Source organism: Homo sapiens, chromosome 21, assembly GCF_000001405.40.
Source record: "Homo sapiens chromosome 21, GRCh38.p14 Primary Assembly".
NCBI classification, from domain to species: Eukaryota; Metazoa; Chordata; class Mammalia; order Primates; family Hominidae; genus Homo; species Homo sapiens.
This window is the reverse complement of record NC_000021.9, coordinates 25450493-25470889: the sequence shown is the minus strand read 5'-3', so window position 1 is coordinate 25470889 and position 20397 is coordinate 25450493. Positions and strand designations below refer to the sequence as shown.

The 20397-nt window shown below is 37.0% G+C and overlaps 1 long non-coding RNA gene and 1 pseudogene across 6 annotated transcripts in view, besides 3 other annotated features; both read left to right on the top strand.

Annotated features, from left to right (window-relative positions):
* The window catches only part of LOC105372753 (uncharacterized), a 72352-nt gene that overhangs the window by 47959 nt on the left and 3996 nt on the right, over positions 1-20397 (top strand). For 3 of the 6 annotated variants that reach the window (NR_188560.1, NR_188566.1, NR_188564.1), the window contains 2 exons: positions 4413-4467; positions 17464-17699. This is a non-coding gene — a long non-coding RNA (uncharacterized LOC105372753). Of the gene's footprint in view, positions 1-1582; positions 1946-4412; positions 4468-17463; positions 17700-20397 lie in introns of those variants that run through there. The other 3 variants (NR_188561.1, NR_188567.1, NR_188565.1) reach the window with 1 other exon arrangement.
* On the top strand, positions 689-781 carry LOC124905059 (uncharacterized; annotated as a pseudogene).
* Positions 12569-12698: a silencer, noted in NCBI's record as "silent region_13224". NCBI's record gives its function as "represses an Ori minimal core promoter by ATAC-STARR-seq in GM12878 lymphoblastoid cells {active_cell/tissue: GM12878}" and the evidence as "EXISTENCE:reporter gene assay evidence [ECO:0000049][PMID:35858748]".
* Positions 12819-14018: an enhancer, noted in NCBI's record as "P300/CBP strongly-dependent group 1 enhancer chr21:26829184-26830383 (GRCh37/hg19 assembly coordinates)". NCBI's record gives its function as "activates an origin of replication core promoter dependent on BRD2, BRD4, P300/CBP, MED14 and CDK7 cofactors, with strong dependence on P300/CBP, by STARR-seq in HCT116 cells {active_cell/tissue: HCT116}" and the evidence as "EXISTENCE:reporter gene assay evidence [ECO:0000049][PMID:35650434]".
* Positions 13178-13467: an enhancer, noted in NCBI's record as "active region_18305". NCBI's record gives its function as "activates an Ori minimal core promoter by ATAC-STARR-seq in GM12878 lymphoblastoid cells {active_cell/tissue: GM12878}" and the evidence as "EXISTENCE:reporter gene assay evidence [ECO:0000049][PMID:35858748]".

Below are 20397 nucleotides of genomic sequence, written 5' to 3'. Positions count from 1 at the left end.
GAGAAAAATCTGATAAAATGTACATTTCAGATTTGTCTCAGATAGATACTTATCTCCAAAAGCTAAGTTTTCACTTTCTTTCTCCCTTGAAGTCAAATTGTTTTGTAATCTTTGATATGTTCAGAGCCCATAGAATCATGTTTGTTTCTCTAGCCAATGTTTGGACATAAAACCTTCAGATAAAGTTTCTGTAGTGGTAAAGGAAGAGGTGGAACTGTGCAACATTTTCAAATGAATGAGTCTGACTAATGAAATTTGGTGCATAATTTAAACAAAATTATGATATAATGGTGGGAGGGGATATTAGTTATGTTTTTGGTAAGTAATAAAACTGATGATTTTTTTAATACAAGAGATATAAACATCTGAGGACAAGGAGAATATTTTTTGTCTTAATTTTTTGCTCCCAATAAAAAGCTATTTTATCATTTTTCCTAAAATATAAACAATCATTTTTGTTCTAATTCGATAAACAACTTTCTGGAAATTTATATAAAAGCACAGAAATATAAGCTTCACTTGTTAAAAATAACATTTTTGTTAGTTTATTATTACTAAGCTTATGATCATAATGGAAATGTCAAAGGATGCAGACTGACAGAAAAAAACCTACATTTTGGAGCATGTGCTTTCAGACGCTTCACTGTAATATTATTTTGTTGTTGATTTGTTTTACTTTTATATGTTGATCCTTTTGTAGTTCATAAGTGTGATGCTTGGGTCTTCCCATTCATGTGTGAGATGTACTTCACTCAAACGTTGACACATTACCCATACGATGTGGAAAAAAAAAAACCTTTTACATGTTAATCAGTACCTATCTACAACATACTTTTAATTGACTTTACAGCACTTCATTATGTGGGTGTACCTTATCACTTTTGCTGAACATTTAGGTTGTTAGCAATTTTGCTGTTGTATACTCTGCTATAATGACAATTTTTATAGCCTATTTTTTACATTTTAATATTTATTTTTATATAAGCTACATCTAACATTTCCTTAGTATGTTAACATAGAGTTACTGGGTCAAAGAACACTACTAGAATTATTTCCTTAAAAAATAGATGTAGACCATGGAATACTATGCAGTCATAAAAAAGGATGAGTTCGTCTCCTTTGGAGGGACATGGATGAAACTGGAAACCATCATTCTCAGCAAACTAACACAGGAACAGAAAACCAAACACCACATGTTCTCACTCATAAGTGGGAGTTGAACAATGAGAACACATGTACACAGGGAGGGGAACATCACACACTGGGGCCTGTCTTGGGGTGGGGTGCTAGGGGACGGATAGCATTAGAAGAAATACCTAATGTAGATGATGGGTTGATGGGTGCGGCAAACCACCATGACACAGCTATACCTATGTAACAAACATGCACGCTCTGCACATGTATCCCAGAATCTAAAGTATAATTTTAAAAAGTAATATCTCCATTAAACTGTGTGTGAGTTCCTTGGGGGCAGGATTACTATCTTATTGATCTCCGTATTTTTAATCTGATGAAAAATACTTGATGTAAGATGGACACACTCTAATCATGTAATCCCTTAAAAGCAGATAACTTTCTCTAGCTGCAGGCAGAAGAGGTGCAGTAGAAGGAGAAGTGAAGGAGATTCCAAGTGTAATAATGACTCAAAGCACACTAGCTTATCTGGAGATGGAGGAATTCAGGCCACCTTATATCTCTGAGAGAGGCTCTTGGTTCACAGCCTACAAGGAAGCAAAGACTTCACCTCTGAAGCCCAAATACCTGGATTCTGACAGCCAACCTGAATGCGCTTGGAAGAAGATTCTCCCTCAGAACCTCTGAATACTAGTCCAGCTTGCCAACAACTTGATTTCAGCCTATAAAACCCAGGCCAGAGAAAACAGCTGAGCTCACCAGACTTCTGAGCTACAGAACTGTGAGATAATAAATTTGATTGGTTAAAGTAGCCAAGTTTGTGGTTATTATAAGGTAGCAATAGGTCATAAATACGTCATACTTTACATCAAAAGACCCAATTGGCTGAACAATGTTTAAAAACATTTATTCCTAACTCAGAAGGCAGGACAATGAGAAATTATTATACTCTAATATTTTACCTGTCACATTGGGAAATATGTAAAAAGAAGTTGTGGTAGCAAAATTCATTGCTTCATGGTATTCACCATGATATTTCAAAAGAACAAGCTAACCATTTTTCTAAATGCTACAATCTGACAAAATCATAAATATAATCAGATCCTGGCTTGATTTAACCACGTATAGTGAGAGTTGGATTTGAATGAAGGTATATATACTCTAAAGTAGCTCAGATGATTTGTCATTATAATTTGTTGTTATTTACTTTCTCTGTCATTACAACCTCTGTTTAAAGAATCTGGTTTTTAAAATCTTGGTTTAGATAAGCAAAAATAATATCTACAGTAGGTAAGCCTTCAGAAAAATGAAAGCATTCATGAGCCCCTGGTGGGCATATAAATTGGTCCAAAGTTTTGGGGGAGTAATTGGTGATACATTTCAGAAGTCAGGATAATGTACTTGACTTTTGACCTAAAATTCCACACCTATTTTTTTTTTGAGGAATGTATTTTATTCTACTAACTTATTGAACTTTCATATAGTACAAATACAAGAACAAAAGGATAATAATTTAACAAAGCAAAAAGAATACTAGTGCTTTCCTTTTATTTAATGGATGGAAAATAACTTTTGGGGCATTAAAATCTTGCCTGACTTACACAATCAACATTATGATTCATTGACATCTTGCATTAATGATCTCACAACACAGAATTTCTTAATTTCATTCTTGTGCTGATCTCAAGGGAAACTTGAAGGTAAGGGAATGGACTCCTTGACTCAGCCCTGGCACATACTAATCTATTTTCTGTGTCTATATTTTACCTGTTCTGGATATTTCATGTGAATAGAATCATACAATATGTTGTTTAACTTAGCAAAATATTTTCAAGGTTCATCCATGTTGTAGCAGGTATTAGTACTTCACTTCTTTCTGTCACCAAGTAAGTATCCATTGTGTGAATACACCACATTTTATTTATCCATTCATCAGTTGATGGACATTTGAAATTTTTCCACTTTTTTGCTATTATGAATAATGCTGGCATAAACATAAAAATTTTTGAATATACATATGGGTTTGTTTCTCTTGACATATTCCTGGGAGTAGAATTATTGGGTCCTATAGTAACTTATATGATTAACCTTTTCAAGAACTGCCAAACTATTTTTTAAACTGGTTGCACCCTTTTAAAATTCCTCCTGGAACATTTCAGGGTAATCTATACATTTTTTAAGGTTACATTGTGTGCCTATGCCATGGCTTTGTATATAATGGACAACTACTGAATATTGTTGAATGAACCAATGAATGATAACAATGAAAAGTTAAATTCTAATATATAATCGTCTTAAAAGTTAACATCCAATATACACAAAGTAAGTACTTAATACACTGAGTTCTACCAATACATGACAAGTGTGTTTTTCTGTAGTAAATCTGAAATATCAGTATTAGCTTCCTGTATTAGTTTGTTCTCGTGCTGCTATGAAGAAATACCTGAGATTGGGTAATTTATAAAGGAAAGAGGTTTAGTTGACTCACAGTTTAGCATGTCTGGGTAGGCCTCAGGAAACTTAAAATCATGGCAGAAGGGGAAGCAAACACATCCTTCTTCACATGGTGGCAGGAGAGAGACATGCAGAGTGAATGGGGGAAAAGCTCCTTATAAAACCATCAGATCTCATGAGAACTCACTCACTATCACGAGAACAGCACGGGGGAACCGCCTCCATGATCTAATCACCTCCCACGAGGTCCCTCTCACAACCCATGGGGATTACAAGTTGGATGGCAATTCAAGATGATATTTCGGGTGGGGACATAGCTAAACCACATTACTGCCTGTCTTTGTTTGAGCTGCTCTAACAAAATACCCTATACTGGGTAGCTTAGAAAGAACATGTAGGCAAACCCAAACAAAAACTATCTGTGTAAAATAATAAAAATACTGTCTAATTAGTGGAGTTTCCTGTGCGACCAGTCATTTTGTTTGGTATTTTGATCTTTCTCCTCAGGCAGCTGGTGTACTTTATGTGCCTGGTGATCATTGGTTGGCCACTCATATTTAAGAGAAGAGGACTGGCTTGCTAGTGCAGCTCCCGCTTCCTGGTGCAGTGGTGATGTGATGGCAAGCTCTCTCTGTGTGTGATAGAGTTGAGTGGGAAGTGGCATTCTTCACTTCAGGATGAAAAGGAGTAGGCTGCTAGACTGTGGGTCTCAAAATTCCAGATGAGGAGAGATTTACTGTGGGCATCAATATTCACCTTCAAAACATTCACTTACCTAGACATTCAGTTTATAAAGAAAAGGCTTTTGTTTTATTTTTACCCAGGAGACAAAAGCACGTGACTCTGAATGGGGTGGAAGAAGCTGATGAAGTTTGCCAGGTGGGTTAGTATTCTTTCTAGAACACCTGTGCTGTAATCAGTGTACATTTTTCTTGCTTCTTATGAAACTAAAACTGAATTTCCATAGGGATAATGGTCATTTAATTGTCTTCTAAACAGGCATATTTTGAGAAAAGTGGGGGCTTCTATTAATTATTCTAGGAAAATAAGTTAAAGACTGCCCTAGAAAATCACGATACAAGATGTTTCATCTATATGATTGGCTTTTAGCTTTGCAGATACTTAGCAGTTTACTGCAGTAACTTTTCCTGCTTGTTTTATCAACCCATTTCCATTTATTTTTGATCTTGCAGAAATATGTTGACATTTCTTATTTGTTGGTAAAATATGCACACACACCTCCATTTCTCTGCCACGTTATCTTTTTTATATGACTGTTCTATTTTATACTTGTATCCTTTTTTTAATCAGTAGGGTTTTGTGAGGTATTGGAGACAAATATGTGTGCAAAATTGCATCTAGAATTGATAGAATTTTAAAGAAAATTTGTTCAACTTTGGCATTTGTGGATTTAATTGATGCCACCAGTGAGGCTGTATTAATTATGATTTATGTTAAAATTAAGGTCTGACAAAAGTGAATATTTATTAAGTATACAGTGTTGATAGTTAGAATTAGAGTCAGAATATATGCCCTCTAGGTGGAGAAAAAGACTTTAAGCCAGGATTAAAGCAGTTGTATAGCATTCATATAATAAAGAATTTTGCTAATATAACCAAATTGGGCATGAGGTCAGTACCAAATAATGAACAGTTTGAGTTGAAAAACATTTAAAAAGAAATGCAAATTTTAAGCTTTTACATGTTCACTCCATTGCTCCCTGAGATCATTTGGATAGCAGAGGAAAGGACATTACAGGCAGAGGGTGTATGAAGTGCAATACTCTGAGCAAGGAGCTTGCCTGCTCTGTTCAAAGAACAGTGACAAGTGATGAGCCCAGTTTAGTTAAGGTGAAATGAATAAGGGAGGAGGGAGGAGGAGATGTAGTCAGAGAAGTAATGGGGCCAGCTCATGTAGGTCCTGGTATACCATGGTAAGGACTCTTAGTTTTTATTCTGAGTGAGATGGAAAGCCATTGAAAGGTTGTGAATAGAGGAGTGAGATTATGTTTTCATGGAATCTCTATGTCTGTTCTTTGGAGAATATGCTGAAGCTGGACAAACTTATTATAAAACAGTAGGTCAGGTAGGAGGTAGTTGCAATAATACAGGCAAAAATTATTGTGTTGTGTACCAAGTTGATGTTTTGTGATAAACAGCCAAATTCTGGATCTATTTTGAAGATAGAGAAAGTAGGGCGCATTGACAAATTTTGTGTAGATAAGGAAAGACATACAGAATGGTGCCCAAATTTACATGTCCTAGTTAGATATGAGCTGTATGAGGACAGGAGTCATAAATGATTGTTTAGTATTTTATCCTTTTCTAGTATCTAGTTCACAGACAGCAATAAGAAGTACTGAATGAATGAATAAAACATTCATGTAGGACACTGTATCAGAATTTGTATATAAAGCAGAGATCCCTCTTTTCTAGGCTACCAAATTCTTGATCTTTCTGAAAGTCGCTTTTTTCAGGCACAGGGATGGAAGATGTATGGATTCTTCCTTTTCGGATTCAGGTGCTTCTTCCAAATATCCTCCTGTCAGTCTCACTCTGGTGGCTGTCACCCTGCAGGGCTGTGGTTGGTTATTCTTTACCTTTCTAGATAATGCAGAGAAAGGTGTTGTGTAGACCAGCTTCTTCTGTTTCCTCCAAGATTCAGACTACTCAAACTGCATGTTCATTCTCAGAGAGAAAGAAGGGCCATATTCCATTTTCTCAAGATCCAATGCACTCACTCATCTGTTTTTTGAAAGAGTCTTTGTATTTTGAAAGAGTGACTTCTGACCTCTCAAGGAAACTTTCACAACATGAGTCTTCAGAGCCCTCGATTTGGCACTACCTGTAGCACAGAGCACCCCAATCAAAGGCCTAATGAGTCATTTTAATCCTGTTACTCTGGTAATTTTCTATTATGGGTATAACACAGTTATTTCCTTAGTGGTGCCTAGAAACAGTGTATGTTGACCTAGTTACAAACGTTCTTTACACAGTACAGTACTACACAGTGTGGAAAAATCTATTTGAACATATTTTAGAGTAAAATGATATAGTAAAGAATAAAACTCAAAATTCTACTTTCAAAGTTTTGGCCACAGGGAAAGGTGACGAATCCAATTAATAAGGCTCATGATCATCAATAAAAAAGTATATAAAGGATGACAGAATAAAGTTTTGAGTTTTAGCTTTCAAAAATTCATTTATCCCTGTGACAATTTTTAAGGTTGTTGGAGAGATGGTGCTGACAAATATGTCAGAATGCCCTAGAAATTAAGGGTATCACTTTAGCAAGTGAGAGAAGTAATTCTGAATTTTGAACAGAAAAAAAAAAGAAAAAGAGAAAAGAAGAGAAAAAGTTGTTACCTTCAGAAGAACCAAGCCATTGCAAATATGTCCCTGTTAAGTTGATTGGATTGCTGTGAAAATGTCAAGCATCTCTGGGCTAATTGCTTAGAACATCCTTCTATTTACTACTTAAAAAATGAGTAAAATGTGAAAAGGTGTCTTTGATCTAGATTTCTGAATCTACACTGGTATGTTTATTTTAGGCATCATAATGGTAAATATGTAAAGCATGTTTCAAATTTTTCAGTTAATTCCTCTATAAAGGCAACCTTTATTCAAGGAATATATAGTGAGGGTGAGGTTGTCATAGACTTTTCTTGCTAATTTTGGGTTGCAAATTTCTAACCAACTTTCTATAAAAAATGTAATATGAGACAAATATGAGAAATAAATGACATTTCTTTTTCTTGGTGGGATCCTGTGCTTCATAAGAAACACTAGATGAGTTTCCGTATTCCAGTTTAGAAAAACATATTGGGGCTACAGCTTAAAAGCAACACTTATGTGATTTTTTAGCAATCTTTGATGAACTCTAGGAAAATGGGGCTAAAATGTTTCTCGAACTTTATCACAGCTAATCAAACTTAGAGTCAAATAATATGTAGGCTGAGTAAAAGTTTCCACATAGAACAAAATATTTTTTTTTGTTGTTGAATGTGACTTATGGCACATTTTAATATTTTTTTCTCACTTCCCTACTTTGTTACATTCTATTCTCAAGCCTTTGGGTTAGTCCTTATTCTTAAATTCATACATGCCATGTATTGTGCTATAATTCATTCTTGGATGATGACTATATTACAGAATGATTTGAAAAAAGTAATTATTCTTTTTTTCATTCATTGTCATTAAACCAATCAAAAGCATTAGACTTGTCATGGGGTTTCTGATTGTTTTAGTCTGATTGGGCATTCATAACAAAGTACCATAGACTGGTTGACTTGAACAAGAGAAATTTACTTTCTCACAGTTTGGAGGCTGAGAAGTCCAAGATCAAGATGCCAGCCAGTTGGGTTCCTGGTGAAAGCCTGCTTCCTCACTTGCAGATGGCTGCCTTCTCTTTGTGTGCTCACATCGCCTCTCTTCAGGTGCACGTGCCTGGAGAGAAGGAGAGAGGTCTCTCTCTCTCTTCCTCTTCATATAAGCCACTGTACTATCAGATTAGGGCCCCACCCTTATGACCTTATTTAACCTTAATTACCTCCTAAAGACCCTATCTCCAGATAGTCACATAAGGCGTTAGGGCTTCAACATATGAACTTTGGGCTTCAACATATGAATTCAACGTATGAATTGGAACACAATACAGTCCATTGCACTGATCTGTCAACAGATCTGTGTCAGTATTTCCAGTGGTTTATCATGCTGATGGTCTTTCAGTTTCTGCAATCAACATTTACAGAACTGTACTGACACTTTGCTAGACTCGGGGCATATACTCTGTACCTGATACTATGCTAGATTTGAGGCATTATAAAAATATATAAAAGAGTCTTCTGATTTTAAGCTTATAGTCCGATAGTCCAGATTGTATATATATGTATATATATATATATATATATCTCCACAAACGTCATTAATAGTTCTGAAATAAGTAGAATCAAATAGGCTAAAAGTAAGATTATAGTTAATACACTTTTAAAACCCACTCTGATATCAATACCCCTGTTAGACCTTTGCAAGGCTATCTTGTGGTTAATTTCTTAACTTAGGTGGTAAAAGTTCAGGAGATACCCTGAGTATATAAGCATTGAGGCTAGCCCTGTCCTGCCAGTTTCCTTGGTATTATTGTGACTGTTAGGTTTTAAAGCTGTTTCTGTGTGTGTTTGCCCTTTTATTAATTTTAGTCAGTGGACCCACCTTTTCCTTTTTACACTGGTGTGTCGATGGCCTTTCCTTGTAATAACAGTTGACATAATCCTGTTGAACTGAAAGAAAACACTACTAAGGAAAACACAGGATATTTCCAACTTTCTCAGACCTCTGTATGGAGGAATGTAGGTTTTGAGCCAGGGTCAAGCAGAGAAAGAGATACCAGTGTACAACCAAATATTTCAGGCTCTTGGGCACTGTTTGCTTTGTTTGGGACTGACATCATTACCCTTACTCTATTCTCATACTGAATTGGAATTACAATATATTTTTTTTTAACTTGTCTGACTGGCAAATGTTCAAACCAGCAATAACAACCAATGCTGGCAAATTGTCAAGGATATAAGCATTCCCTCACTTTTATGAGAGACACGTGAATTCCTCCATTTGTTTTGGAAAATAAATCTAGCAGCAACTATTTGAATTAAAACATCTATATGTTACACAGGAATTCAAATTATTGAATTCTTACATATTAAAATCACACTTGATATAGAACGTGTATAGACATAATACCATTTGTATCATTGTAGTAACAATAAATCATAAGCTGTCTGAATGTCCATCAATGGGTAACTGATTAAATCATGGCACTTGTGCATGTTCTTGCACACACACACGCAATGGAAAATGGGGCAGCTCTTAAAGAGAATCATATTTAGTTGTATTGGGACATATAAATGTCCCAAATGGGAGGGATGTTCACAATACACAGTGAGATTTAGAAAAGCAAAATCAGAGTGAAACGAATAATACCAATAAATTAAAAAAATCAAAATCTAAAAACATGGGGCCGGGCACGGTGGCTCACACCTGTAATCCCAGCACTTTGGGAGGCCGAAGCAAGCGGATCACTTGAGGTCAGGAGTTTGAGAACACCCTGGCTAACATGGTGAAAACTCATCTCTACTAAAAATACGAAAATTAACTGGGTGTGGTGGTGCATGCCTGTAGTCCCAGCTACTCGGGAGGCAGAGGTTGCAGTGAGCAGAGATCGTGCCACTGCATTCCAGCTTGGGAGACAGAGTGAGACTCCATCTCAAAACAAAAAACAAATAAACAAACAAAAAACACCTAAAAACAGCTTATGTGCTGGCCAAAGAGAAAATGGGGTCAATTACATACCCAGTTCTTCACATATGTAAACTAAGGGAGGTATGGGAGGATTTTTGACTTTTCCTTCATTTGTATATTCACTTATTATATCAGAAGTGGAAAGGGGCAGAGAAGAAAAGAAGAGGAACACCATCCTGTTGATGGATGGTGGGTGAGAGAAGGGCTGGACACCAATATGACAGCCATATTCACTCCACTCTCCTAAATGGAAACGAGTGGCTGTCTCTGACTTTTTGAGCACAGAGATTCAGAGGAGGATGGTGACTGAGGAGGAAGAAAACATGGCTGGAACCCAAGTCACCTGCAGTTATTGACAGGGCCCTCCCCTGTACAGTTGTCTTTTATATTGGCAGGACACCTCTCTCCCTAATTATGTTCGGGGGAAGTTCTGCCCATACTTGTGCCAAGTTCCCAAGGTGGGGAGGATAAGAGCAGTAAAGGGATATTGTTGAAAGAGGGTGCATATACTCCAGGTATAAGCAGAAACTTTCAGGTGAGCCAAGAAATTCACCAGATGTCCAGGCTTCCCTTTCTTCCTCTCCCCACAGAAACAAGCACCAGTTTGCGTGTGGGGGTGTCACTGTCCAAAGATTTGCTAGGAGAAGAATATGGTAAGATAATATTTGAAGTTATTAATCTATGCTTTTTATTCTCTCTATACATATTTTTCTCTGCCTGTTCCTCCTCATTCAGGAAGGTAACTGGCCCTGGGAATTGTAAGACAGGTAATGTTCTGGCTGTTAATTTTCAGTTCCTTAAATCTGAAGAAGTCAGGCAACATTTCCAGAGCAGGAAACATTAAGGAGGATTTGTGGGCCTAGATGACATGTCTTGGCTAGAGGCAGGATGGAAGGTGAATTTTCCAAGGTAGAAAGAGATCCCTGTGGGAATAGGGGAGCGTAGGGAGGAGGAGAGAGGAATGTCAGTGGGAGTGAGTGGATAGGGTCAGTGCCCTGCTTCCAACTACATGAAGAAAGGGATGGAAAGAGCCTAAAGAGAAAGTGGATGCTTAGTGTTGAGGCAGATGAAACTAAGAGGAGCCATTCTCCCAATGGCAGACATTTTGGAATTTAAAATAAAAAAAAAAGGGTGCTGCAGGGAGCATTCTTGTGTCCCTGTGCAAAAGTGTTTCTGGATTTTATGCTTTAGAAGTTGACTTGCTGAGTCCTGAATTTCCAAGTTTACTAGATAGTGCAAAAATGTTTTCTAAATCATACCAGTGTACTCTTTCAACCTCTTATATTTTTCTTCTCAAATGTATGCTACACTGCCTTAGTGAAATGTCAATGTTCATTAATTACCAGTCATTAAGAATTTGTAAGTTTCCTATCCCTCTCCCCTACTTCCTTACCATTACTTGTCATTGTCAGCCTTTTGAAAATTTTCCAGTCTGATGGACATGAAAGAGTATCTTGTCTTAATTTGCATGTTTCTATTACCAGCAAGTGACAGCTTTTTTCCACATATCTTTGTTGGCCATATAGAGCTTCTCTTCTGTGAACTGAAGGTTTATATTTCTCTATCTACTGCACTTTTTGCAGTTTCCTCATTTATAGGATTTTTAAAATATTCTAGATTGCAAATATTTTTCAAATGTCTTGTAAATATCTTCTGTCACTTGCTTGCCTTTTAACTTGGTTTATAGTGTTGAATATATAGAAATTTAAAATGGTAATGTCATTAAATTTATTCTTTTTTATTTTGTACTTAATGGTTTGCTCTGTTATTTCTTTATTTCAATAGACTCAATTTTTTAAGAGCAGTTTTAGGCTCATAGTAAAATAGAGCAGACGATACATAGATTTCCCTTATACCTACCTCCACCCCTGCATAGGCATAATTTCCTTCATTTTCAATATCCTGCACCAGAATGGTACATTTGTTACAACTGATAAACCTTTTTATATTTTGATAAATCTTTTTTAACTTTAGTATTATGAGAGAGCCTCCTACATTTTCTCCTAAAATTTTTAAGGTTTGCTTTTAGTCTTTAATCCATGTGGACTTCCTGTTGGTATATAGAATGAAGAGAAACTTGATTTTCTGATACATTTTAAAATCTACTTCTAAATTACATGGGGCCAGACCATCCTACTAGCAGATTCACCTGTGTCCTCGCTGAAAGATTCAGGATAACAAAGCAGTTCATAACAGGTGTTAGGACAGGAGATTGTGGGTCTATCACTGGACTCTTGGATAGGTCTCAGAAACCAAAGAACAGGCCAGGGTATTACCAAGATTAGTGAGTGGCATGACTTTTCCATGTCAGGGATGTTGGCTGATTAGGCAACAGGGGCATTCAGATTGAAAAGAGATATAGCTGGCCTGTCCTTACAACTGGATATTAGGATCTGTCAAAACAACTGACAAAGCTGCCACCATAGGAGCAACTATGGCAGAACTAACACAGCCAAAGTGTTTTCCAAGCCAGTGTACACAACCTAAAGGAGAATATTTCCTGGGAAAGGTTTCATCCCTGTAAGATCATTAATTTATGCCATGTACACCGTAACATTTTTAAGTTCTTAAAAAATTTTAATGTAGTGGGATGTAGTAGAGAGAGGGAAAAATCATTTTTAATTGTTTGGTTGGAAAAATGAGATTCATATGTATTTCCCCCCCAAAACATAATACAATAAAAGTAATAAATTTTAATAATTTTTTTTTGAGACATAGTCTCACCCTGTCACCCAGGCTAAAGTGCAGTGGCGTGATCTCAGAGCTGGGATTACAGGCGCAAGCCAACAAGTCTGGGTAATTTTTGTGTTTTTAGTAGAGATGGGGTTTCACCATGCTGGCCAGGCTGGTCTCGAATTCCTGGCCTGAAGTGATTTGCCTGCCTCGACCACCCAAAGTGTTGGGATTATAGCATGAGCCACTGTGTCCGGCCCAATTTTAATAATTTGAGCAGGGCTCACAGTTTTTCCTATAAAAATTCTTCCTTATAAGTAAAACAACTACATGGGATTTCATGGCTATTTTGGTATTTATATAACTCTTTAAGGAAAATAAAACTTTAGTTATATATATAAAACCTTGAGTTATATAAATAACTTTGAGTTATATACAGTTATAATGGCATTATGTGCTCTAAAGCAAAATCTCAATGTCCATTGTCTCACTGATCATAATTAAAAAGTATAACCCAGAATCCAGTTTGTAATTTCCAAGATGACTATCACTGTAAGTATTTGAAACACAGTTGATCTTTGTAAAAAAATTTTTTAATGAAAATAATTAGCTGGGAATATCCCACATGTATTCTAAATCCCCCAGTTGGTTTAGGTAATTTTTCTTATTCTTCCACAACACATGGTATTCTTTCTATGAATGACATCAGTTTGGAAATACCCCGTGGTTTTCTGAGTTATAAATGGGTATCTCAGTATGAACTCCTGATTATATTATGATTCATACTTTCACTTCTGTTTTTTCATACTATCATTTTGAAAAAGTGAAAATGAAACTGTGTCTCACTGGCCAAGAGTTCACAAGGGAGATGGAAAAGCAGAGTTTAATGGAATGATTTTTAAAATATTGAAGGATTGTGGTCTGAGAATACTGTAAAAACCATTTCTTAAGGAAAAGCAATGTAGTTGGGATCAAAACAAAAAAAATGCTCTTTGAGAGTTTCTCTGGAACTTTAGAGTGTCTACTGTCAGAGTTTTGCTTCACATAAGAGCATTGATGAAGTAATAATTATTATACTTATAATTATTCAATTATCAAGTATTGATTTCTTCTGGCATTTATTTATTTATTTATTTATTATTTATGACTCTTTAAAAAATTGTTTTTCTTGGTGGAACTAGGTTATGAACCCTAGCATTTTAATTCTAGAATTTGTTCTCTTAAGTATCACACTGTAGTAGCAATTTGATGGTAACACTAAAGAAAGAAAGAAAGAAGAAAAGAAAGGAAGGAAGGTGTGGAAAGTCCCAGAATGACTGCAGGTCTGAGAACATTTATTCAAACTGCAAATTTTCTTAGGGCAGGGGTCACGCTTGCTCTGGCTGTGTTCCCTGCACCTCAGTTCCTGGCACATAGCAACGCCTGACAAATATTTGTTGAATAAATGAGTACAGTAGCTTAAAAGCAAATTTTTGTACTTCATGGTTTTCTGTAGAAAGCCACAAGAAAAAAATTTCATCTGAGGTCTCAGCATTCTAGTAACTGTGAAGTATTAAGACTTGTATGAGTTCCCCTTATGAGAGGCTTAAAGTATTAGTATCATGAGGTATGAGGTTTAAGGCTAGATGCCTAAATGGCGTCTCATTTTTTATTAAGCTGGACTTGTAGCATGGGAACTTTGCCAGGGATTATAACACCTTTATAAACATTAATGTGATTTTAAAAATTGTTAGCTTAGGCCAGGTAAGGTGGTTCACACTGTAATCCCAGCACTTTGGGAGGCTGAGGTGGGCAGATCCCTTGAGCCCAGGAGTTCGAGACAAGCTTGGGTAACATGGCGAAACCCCATCCCTGCAAAAAATACAAAAATTAGCTGGGTGTGATGGTGCACGCCTGTAGTCTCAGGTACTTGGGAGGCTGAGAGGTGAGAGGATTGCTTGGGCCCAGGAGGTGGAGGCTGCAGTGAGCTGTGATTGCACCACTGCACTATGGTCTGGGTGGCATATAGCAAGGCCTTGTCTCAAAAACAAGTTAAAAAAAACTTATTAAGAGTAAATTTGCCTCCTTGGGCTGCTTGTCACCAAATGGCCATTCTTAACAAATAATTACGTTTTGTGGGTCAATATGTGTTTTTAAATTTTATTTTATGTATTTATGTTTTGAGGGTGTCACTACTGTTACTCAGGTTGGAGTGCAGTGACACAATCATAGCTCACTGCTGCCTCAACCTCCCTGGGTTCAGATGATCCTCCCCACTCAGCCTTCTGAGTTGTATAGGCATGTGCCACCATGCCGGGCTGATTTTTCTTTTCTTTTCTTTCTTTCTTTCTCTTTCTTTCTTTCTTTCTTTCTTTCTTTCTTTCTTTCTTTCTTTCTTTCTTTCTTTCTTTCTTTCTTTCTTTCTTTCCTTCTTTCTTTTTCTTTTTTTTTTTTTTTGTAGAGACAGAGTCTGGCTATGTTGCTCAAACTTGGTCTCGAACTCCTGAGCTCAAGCATTCCACCCTGCCTCATCCTCCAAAGTGCAGAGATTACAGGGGTGAGCCACCATGCCTGGCAATATGTGTTTTTTAAATGAATAAATTAACTCTTCACCTTCAAATCTCCTCTTCCCAGACCAACTTTTTTCTCTACCAACCTTGCTTTGATGATTATATTTCAAATATACCAACTCCTTTAGGTTAAGGCATTGAAGAATGGTTTGTCTAAGAGAGGATATCACCTGTTTTAACATTCATTAACATTTTAAGATGGAATAGTCCAACAGACCAATGAAGCAGTTACTCCCTGCATTTCTAAGAACAGAAGAGGTGTATGAGGAATAAAAAGAATGTCTGCATATCTGCAGTAGCCAATATGAAATGTGAAGAATGTTTAGTAGAGAATAGAAAAGTTATTTCTTCCAAGAATGGTCAAGAGGACTTCAAAACATCACTTAAAAATGTTATAATATTCCAATGTCAGTTATATCAGTAACCTGATCTGAAAATGATGTTGAGAATATGCTGAGAATAATAATGATATTAATAAAAATGCTTATTATTTTGAGTAATGACATTTTGCGATCACTTATTAATCAGCAATTGATTACCAGAACAGAATTGTTATAAGAATTAAATGGATATGAATGAAAAGAAAGTCAAACAGTGAGATTTTCTTTGAAAGCTTATGGAAATTGAGTGCAGCAAGATGGGTCATCTTAATGAGATAAAATAGTTTATGGGCCAGTAAGACTTGACTTGTAACTTGTTAAATATTTTTGAAACAAATAATGTGTTACACAGATAGGGAGTTGGTTCACCTGGCATATGAAAAAATAAAACAAAGAATCTATGAGGTACATTATGGCAGAAAAATCTAGCAAAATTGGGTTCCAAGTTTTTTCCTGTCTGATGATTGTTGAAATTGTAGCATCAGCCATTCTTCGCTTGGTGTAATTGAGCATCTTGTTTAAATCAACCTTCCACTTACTCTAGATTCAATTCAAGTAATCAACATTAGGTTGGTACAAAAGTAATGGCAGTTTTTGCCATTACTTTGAAAGGCAAAAAATGCAATTACTTGCAATTACTTTTGCCCTAACCTAATATTTCAATTCTAATTTGACTTCTGATATAATTTTACAAGGAAGGGATGCTTTAGCTAGAGATCCCCCTTGGCAGTTGTATTTCTTGTTGTAATTAATTAGATGGCTTTTTGTTTGTTTGTACAGAAGTATCTTGAATCGAGTTTCTGTGAATTATAATGCCCAAGTTTGACCGAATTTGACACCCTGACGAGATTGAGTTTTTGAAATGACAAGGCTGAGCAAGAGAGTTAGGGCTGCAATGGCTTCCCAAGGTTGTTGCCACTTGGATGACTTCTCCTGTTCTCTAGCTTCTGGCGGGGACACAGTGTGATGAGTACCTGGTAATAAGCATGGCATGGGGTGGTGGTGTGCTGTAGATGTTAGTTCCCATTCCAAAGTGTTTCTCCAATAGCTTGTATGAGGATGAGGGAAAGAAAATAATGCACTTGAGAAGAAGCAAAGTAGGGAGAAAAAGGAGACCTATTTGTTGCAAGCACATTTTACTGACATGGGAAGCTCTGAAAGAAATCTGTCATGAGTATATATCAGGTGTAATGGTTAATTTTAGACGTCAACTTAACTGGGCCATGGGGTGCCCAGGCATTTGATCAAACATTATTCTGGGTATATCAGTGAGGGTGTTTTTGGATGCATGAGATTAATATTTAAACTGATAGACTGAATAAAGCAGATTGCCCTCCATGATGTGGGTGGGCCCACATGGTTTGGTTCGTTGAAGACCTGAAGCGGACAAAGGCTCATCTTCCCATGAGTTAAAGGAAGCTCTTTCTGCCTGAGTGCCTTTGAGAGGGGACATTTTTTTTTTCCTGCTTTTGGACCCTAACTGAAACATTGGTTTGCCCTGAGTCTCAAGCCTGCCAGCCTGAGCACTGGAACCATTAGCTCTCCTAGGTTTCCAACTTGCTGACTTCAGATCTTGGGATTTGTCAGCTTTATACTCTTGTGAGCCATTTCCATATAATATATCATATTTCCATATCTCCTATTGGTTCTATTTCTCTAGACAACCCAGACTAATACATCAGATGCCTTCTTAATATGTCATATTACCAGGAATTTTTACTTTTGCAAATGAATCACATCTTTAATGTACTCACTGGCAGGGCAAATTCTTTTCATCTAAACTAGATTTTTGTGACCCAGGGTGAATGTGTTTCCTATTTTTTTCCTTTCATAAGGATACATCTCATTAACAGTTTTCAAATTTATCTTCAGTAACTGAATTAAAAAATTTTGTTGTAATCTTATGACACAGATGCCTGTGGTTCATCTCATCTGGTTTGTTTTGTTTGTGATGCTGCCACATTTCCTTTCCCTTAACAGGCTCTTCCCTCCAATCCCCAAACTAGACCTTGGACCATCTCTCCACTGGACCACCAGCTACAATGTCAACAGCTCCACAACTTGCAAGTCTTGCCAAAGTGTTTTAAAGGATGATTTATTAAAGGAAAATCTAAATTAGCAATTGGATATATTCCACTATAGGAACTTAAGACCACTCATTAATTCTACAACGACTTTCTGAGCACCTACCAGTGGGCCAGGCTGGGGAAACAAAGGTAAAATAAGCAGACTTTTTCCTTGAAGAGGGAAGGTAGGAAAACAGATATGAAGACTAAGAGGAAAAGAAAAGTGCCTGATATTTATTGAGCATCTACACTTTTTTTTTTTTTTTTTTTTTTTTATTATACTCTAAGTTTTAGGGTACATGTGCACATTGTGCAGGTTAGTTACATATGTATACATGTGCCATGCTGGTGCGCTGCACCCACTAATGTGTCATCTAGCATTAGGTATATCTCCCAATGCTATCCCTCCCCCCTCCCCCGACCCCACCACAGTCCCCAGAGTGTGATATTCCCCTTCCTGTGTCCATGTGATCTCATTGTTCAATTCCCACCTATGAGTGAGAATAGAGCATCTACACTTTACCAAGCACTCTGTGAGGGGCTTTCCAATGAATCTTTATAACAGCTCTTTAAGGGAGGTACTATTATCCCTCATTTATGTATGAGAAAACCAAGGCTCAGGAAGGTTCTCCAGTTAGGAGCATAGAAATTATAGCTAGCATTCACTGAGCTTCAGTCACAGGGTGGAGTTTAAACCCTGGTCTGTCTTCATTTTTGTTCTTCTTTCCGCTTCACCTTGCCTGTCTGCTCTAGACCTTCACTGCCCAATATGATGGCCACTAGCCACATGTGATTATCCAGCACTTGAGATGTGGCCAGTCCAAGCTGATAAGTGCTATAAGCACAAAATACTAACAAGATTTCAGAAACATAGCATGCATAAAACATAAAATATCTCATTAATAATTTTTATATTGATTACATGTAGGAATAATAACACTTAAGATATACTGGTGTATCAGGGCTCTCCAGAGAAGTGGAGCTAATAGATTATAATTAAATGATTTAATTTATATATGTAATAGGATATATACACATACAAACATGTATATACATTTATGTATATACAAAAACATGTGTATTATACATATATGTAAATGCACACATGTTCTGTATATGTAAACACACATGTATGTGCCATATACTTATGTATATGTAAACACATGTATATGTATATATACATATGTATACATAGACATACATATGTGTATATACACATAATATATGTGTGTATATATGTAGGTGTATATACATCTGTATATACATAATATCCTGTTACATATATACTACACACACACACACACACACACACACACACACACACACACAAAGAATGAGAGACAGAGAGAGAGAGGAGAAAGGAATTTATTTTAAGGAATTGGCTCATGTAATTATGGAGGCTGCCAACTCTGATATTTGTAGACTGTGTCAGCAGCCTGGAGATTAAGGTAAGAGTTGATGTTGCAGTTTTGAGTCAGAAATCCACAGGGCAGATGAGTCAGGCTGGTAACTCAGGCAATGTTATGAACTGAATTGTGTCTCTTCCCCACATTCATATGTTGAAGTTCTAACCCCCAGTGGAATTGTATTTGGAGACAGAGCCTTTAAAGAGGCAATTAAGATTAAATGGGACTGTAAGGGTGGGGGGCTAATATGATAGGACACCAGGGATGTTCTTGAACAGAGAAAAGGCCTTGTCCGCAAGCCAAAAAAAAAAAAAAAAAAAAAAGCCACAGGAGAAACCAAACCTGCCAATACCTTGATCTTGAACTTCCAGTTTCCAAAACTGTGAGAAAATACATTTCTCTTGTTTAAACCACTCAGTCTGTGCTGTTTTGTTATGGGAGCCTGACATGGTTTGGCTCTGTATCTTCATTCAAATCTCATCTTGAATTGTAATCCCCACATGTTGAGGGAGGGACCCGGTGGGAGGTGATTGGATCATGGTGGCAGTTTTCCCCATGCGATTCTCATGTTAGTGAGTGAGTCCTCACTAGATCTGATGGTTTAAAAGTGTTTGGCAGCTCCCCCCACCACTCTCTCCAGTTGCCTTGTGAAGAAGGTGCTTGCTTCCCTTTTGCCTTCCACCATGATTGTAAGTTTCCTGAGACCTCCCTAACCATGCAGAACTGTGAGTCAGTTAAGCCTCTTTCCTTCATAAATTTCCCAGTTTCAGGTAGTTCTTTATAGCAGTGTGAAAATGGACTAATATAGGAAATTGGTGCTGGGAGTTGAGGCACTGCTATAAAGATACTTGAAAATGTAGAAGAGACTTTGGAATTGGGTAACGGGCAGAGGTTGGAAGAGTTTGGAAGGCTCAGAAGAAGACAGGAAGATGTGGGAAAGGTTGAAACTTCCTAGATACTTGTTGAATGATTTTAACCAAAATTATAGTGATATGGACAATAAAATTCAGGCTGAGGAGGTCTCAGATGGAGATGAGGAAGTTGTTAGAAGCTGGAATAAAGGTCACTCTTGCTATGCTTTAGCAAAGAGACTGGCAGCATTTTATCCCTGCCCTAGAGTTCTGTAGGACTTTGAACTTGAGAGAGGTAATTTAGGGTGTCTGGCAGAAGAAATTTCTAAGCAGCAAAGCATTGAAGATGCTTATTCTGGCTTTTTCTGAATGCGTACAGTCATATGTGTTCATGTAGAGATGATCTGAAATCAGAATTTATGCTTAAAAGGGAAGCAGATCATAAAAGCTTGGCAAATTTGCAGCCTATCCATGTGGTAGAAAAGAAAAACCCACTTTCTGGGGAGAAATTCAATCCAGCTGCAGGATTTTCCATAAGTAGCAAGAGGCTGAGTGTTAAGAGCCAGGACAATGGGGAAAATGTCTCCAGGG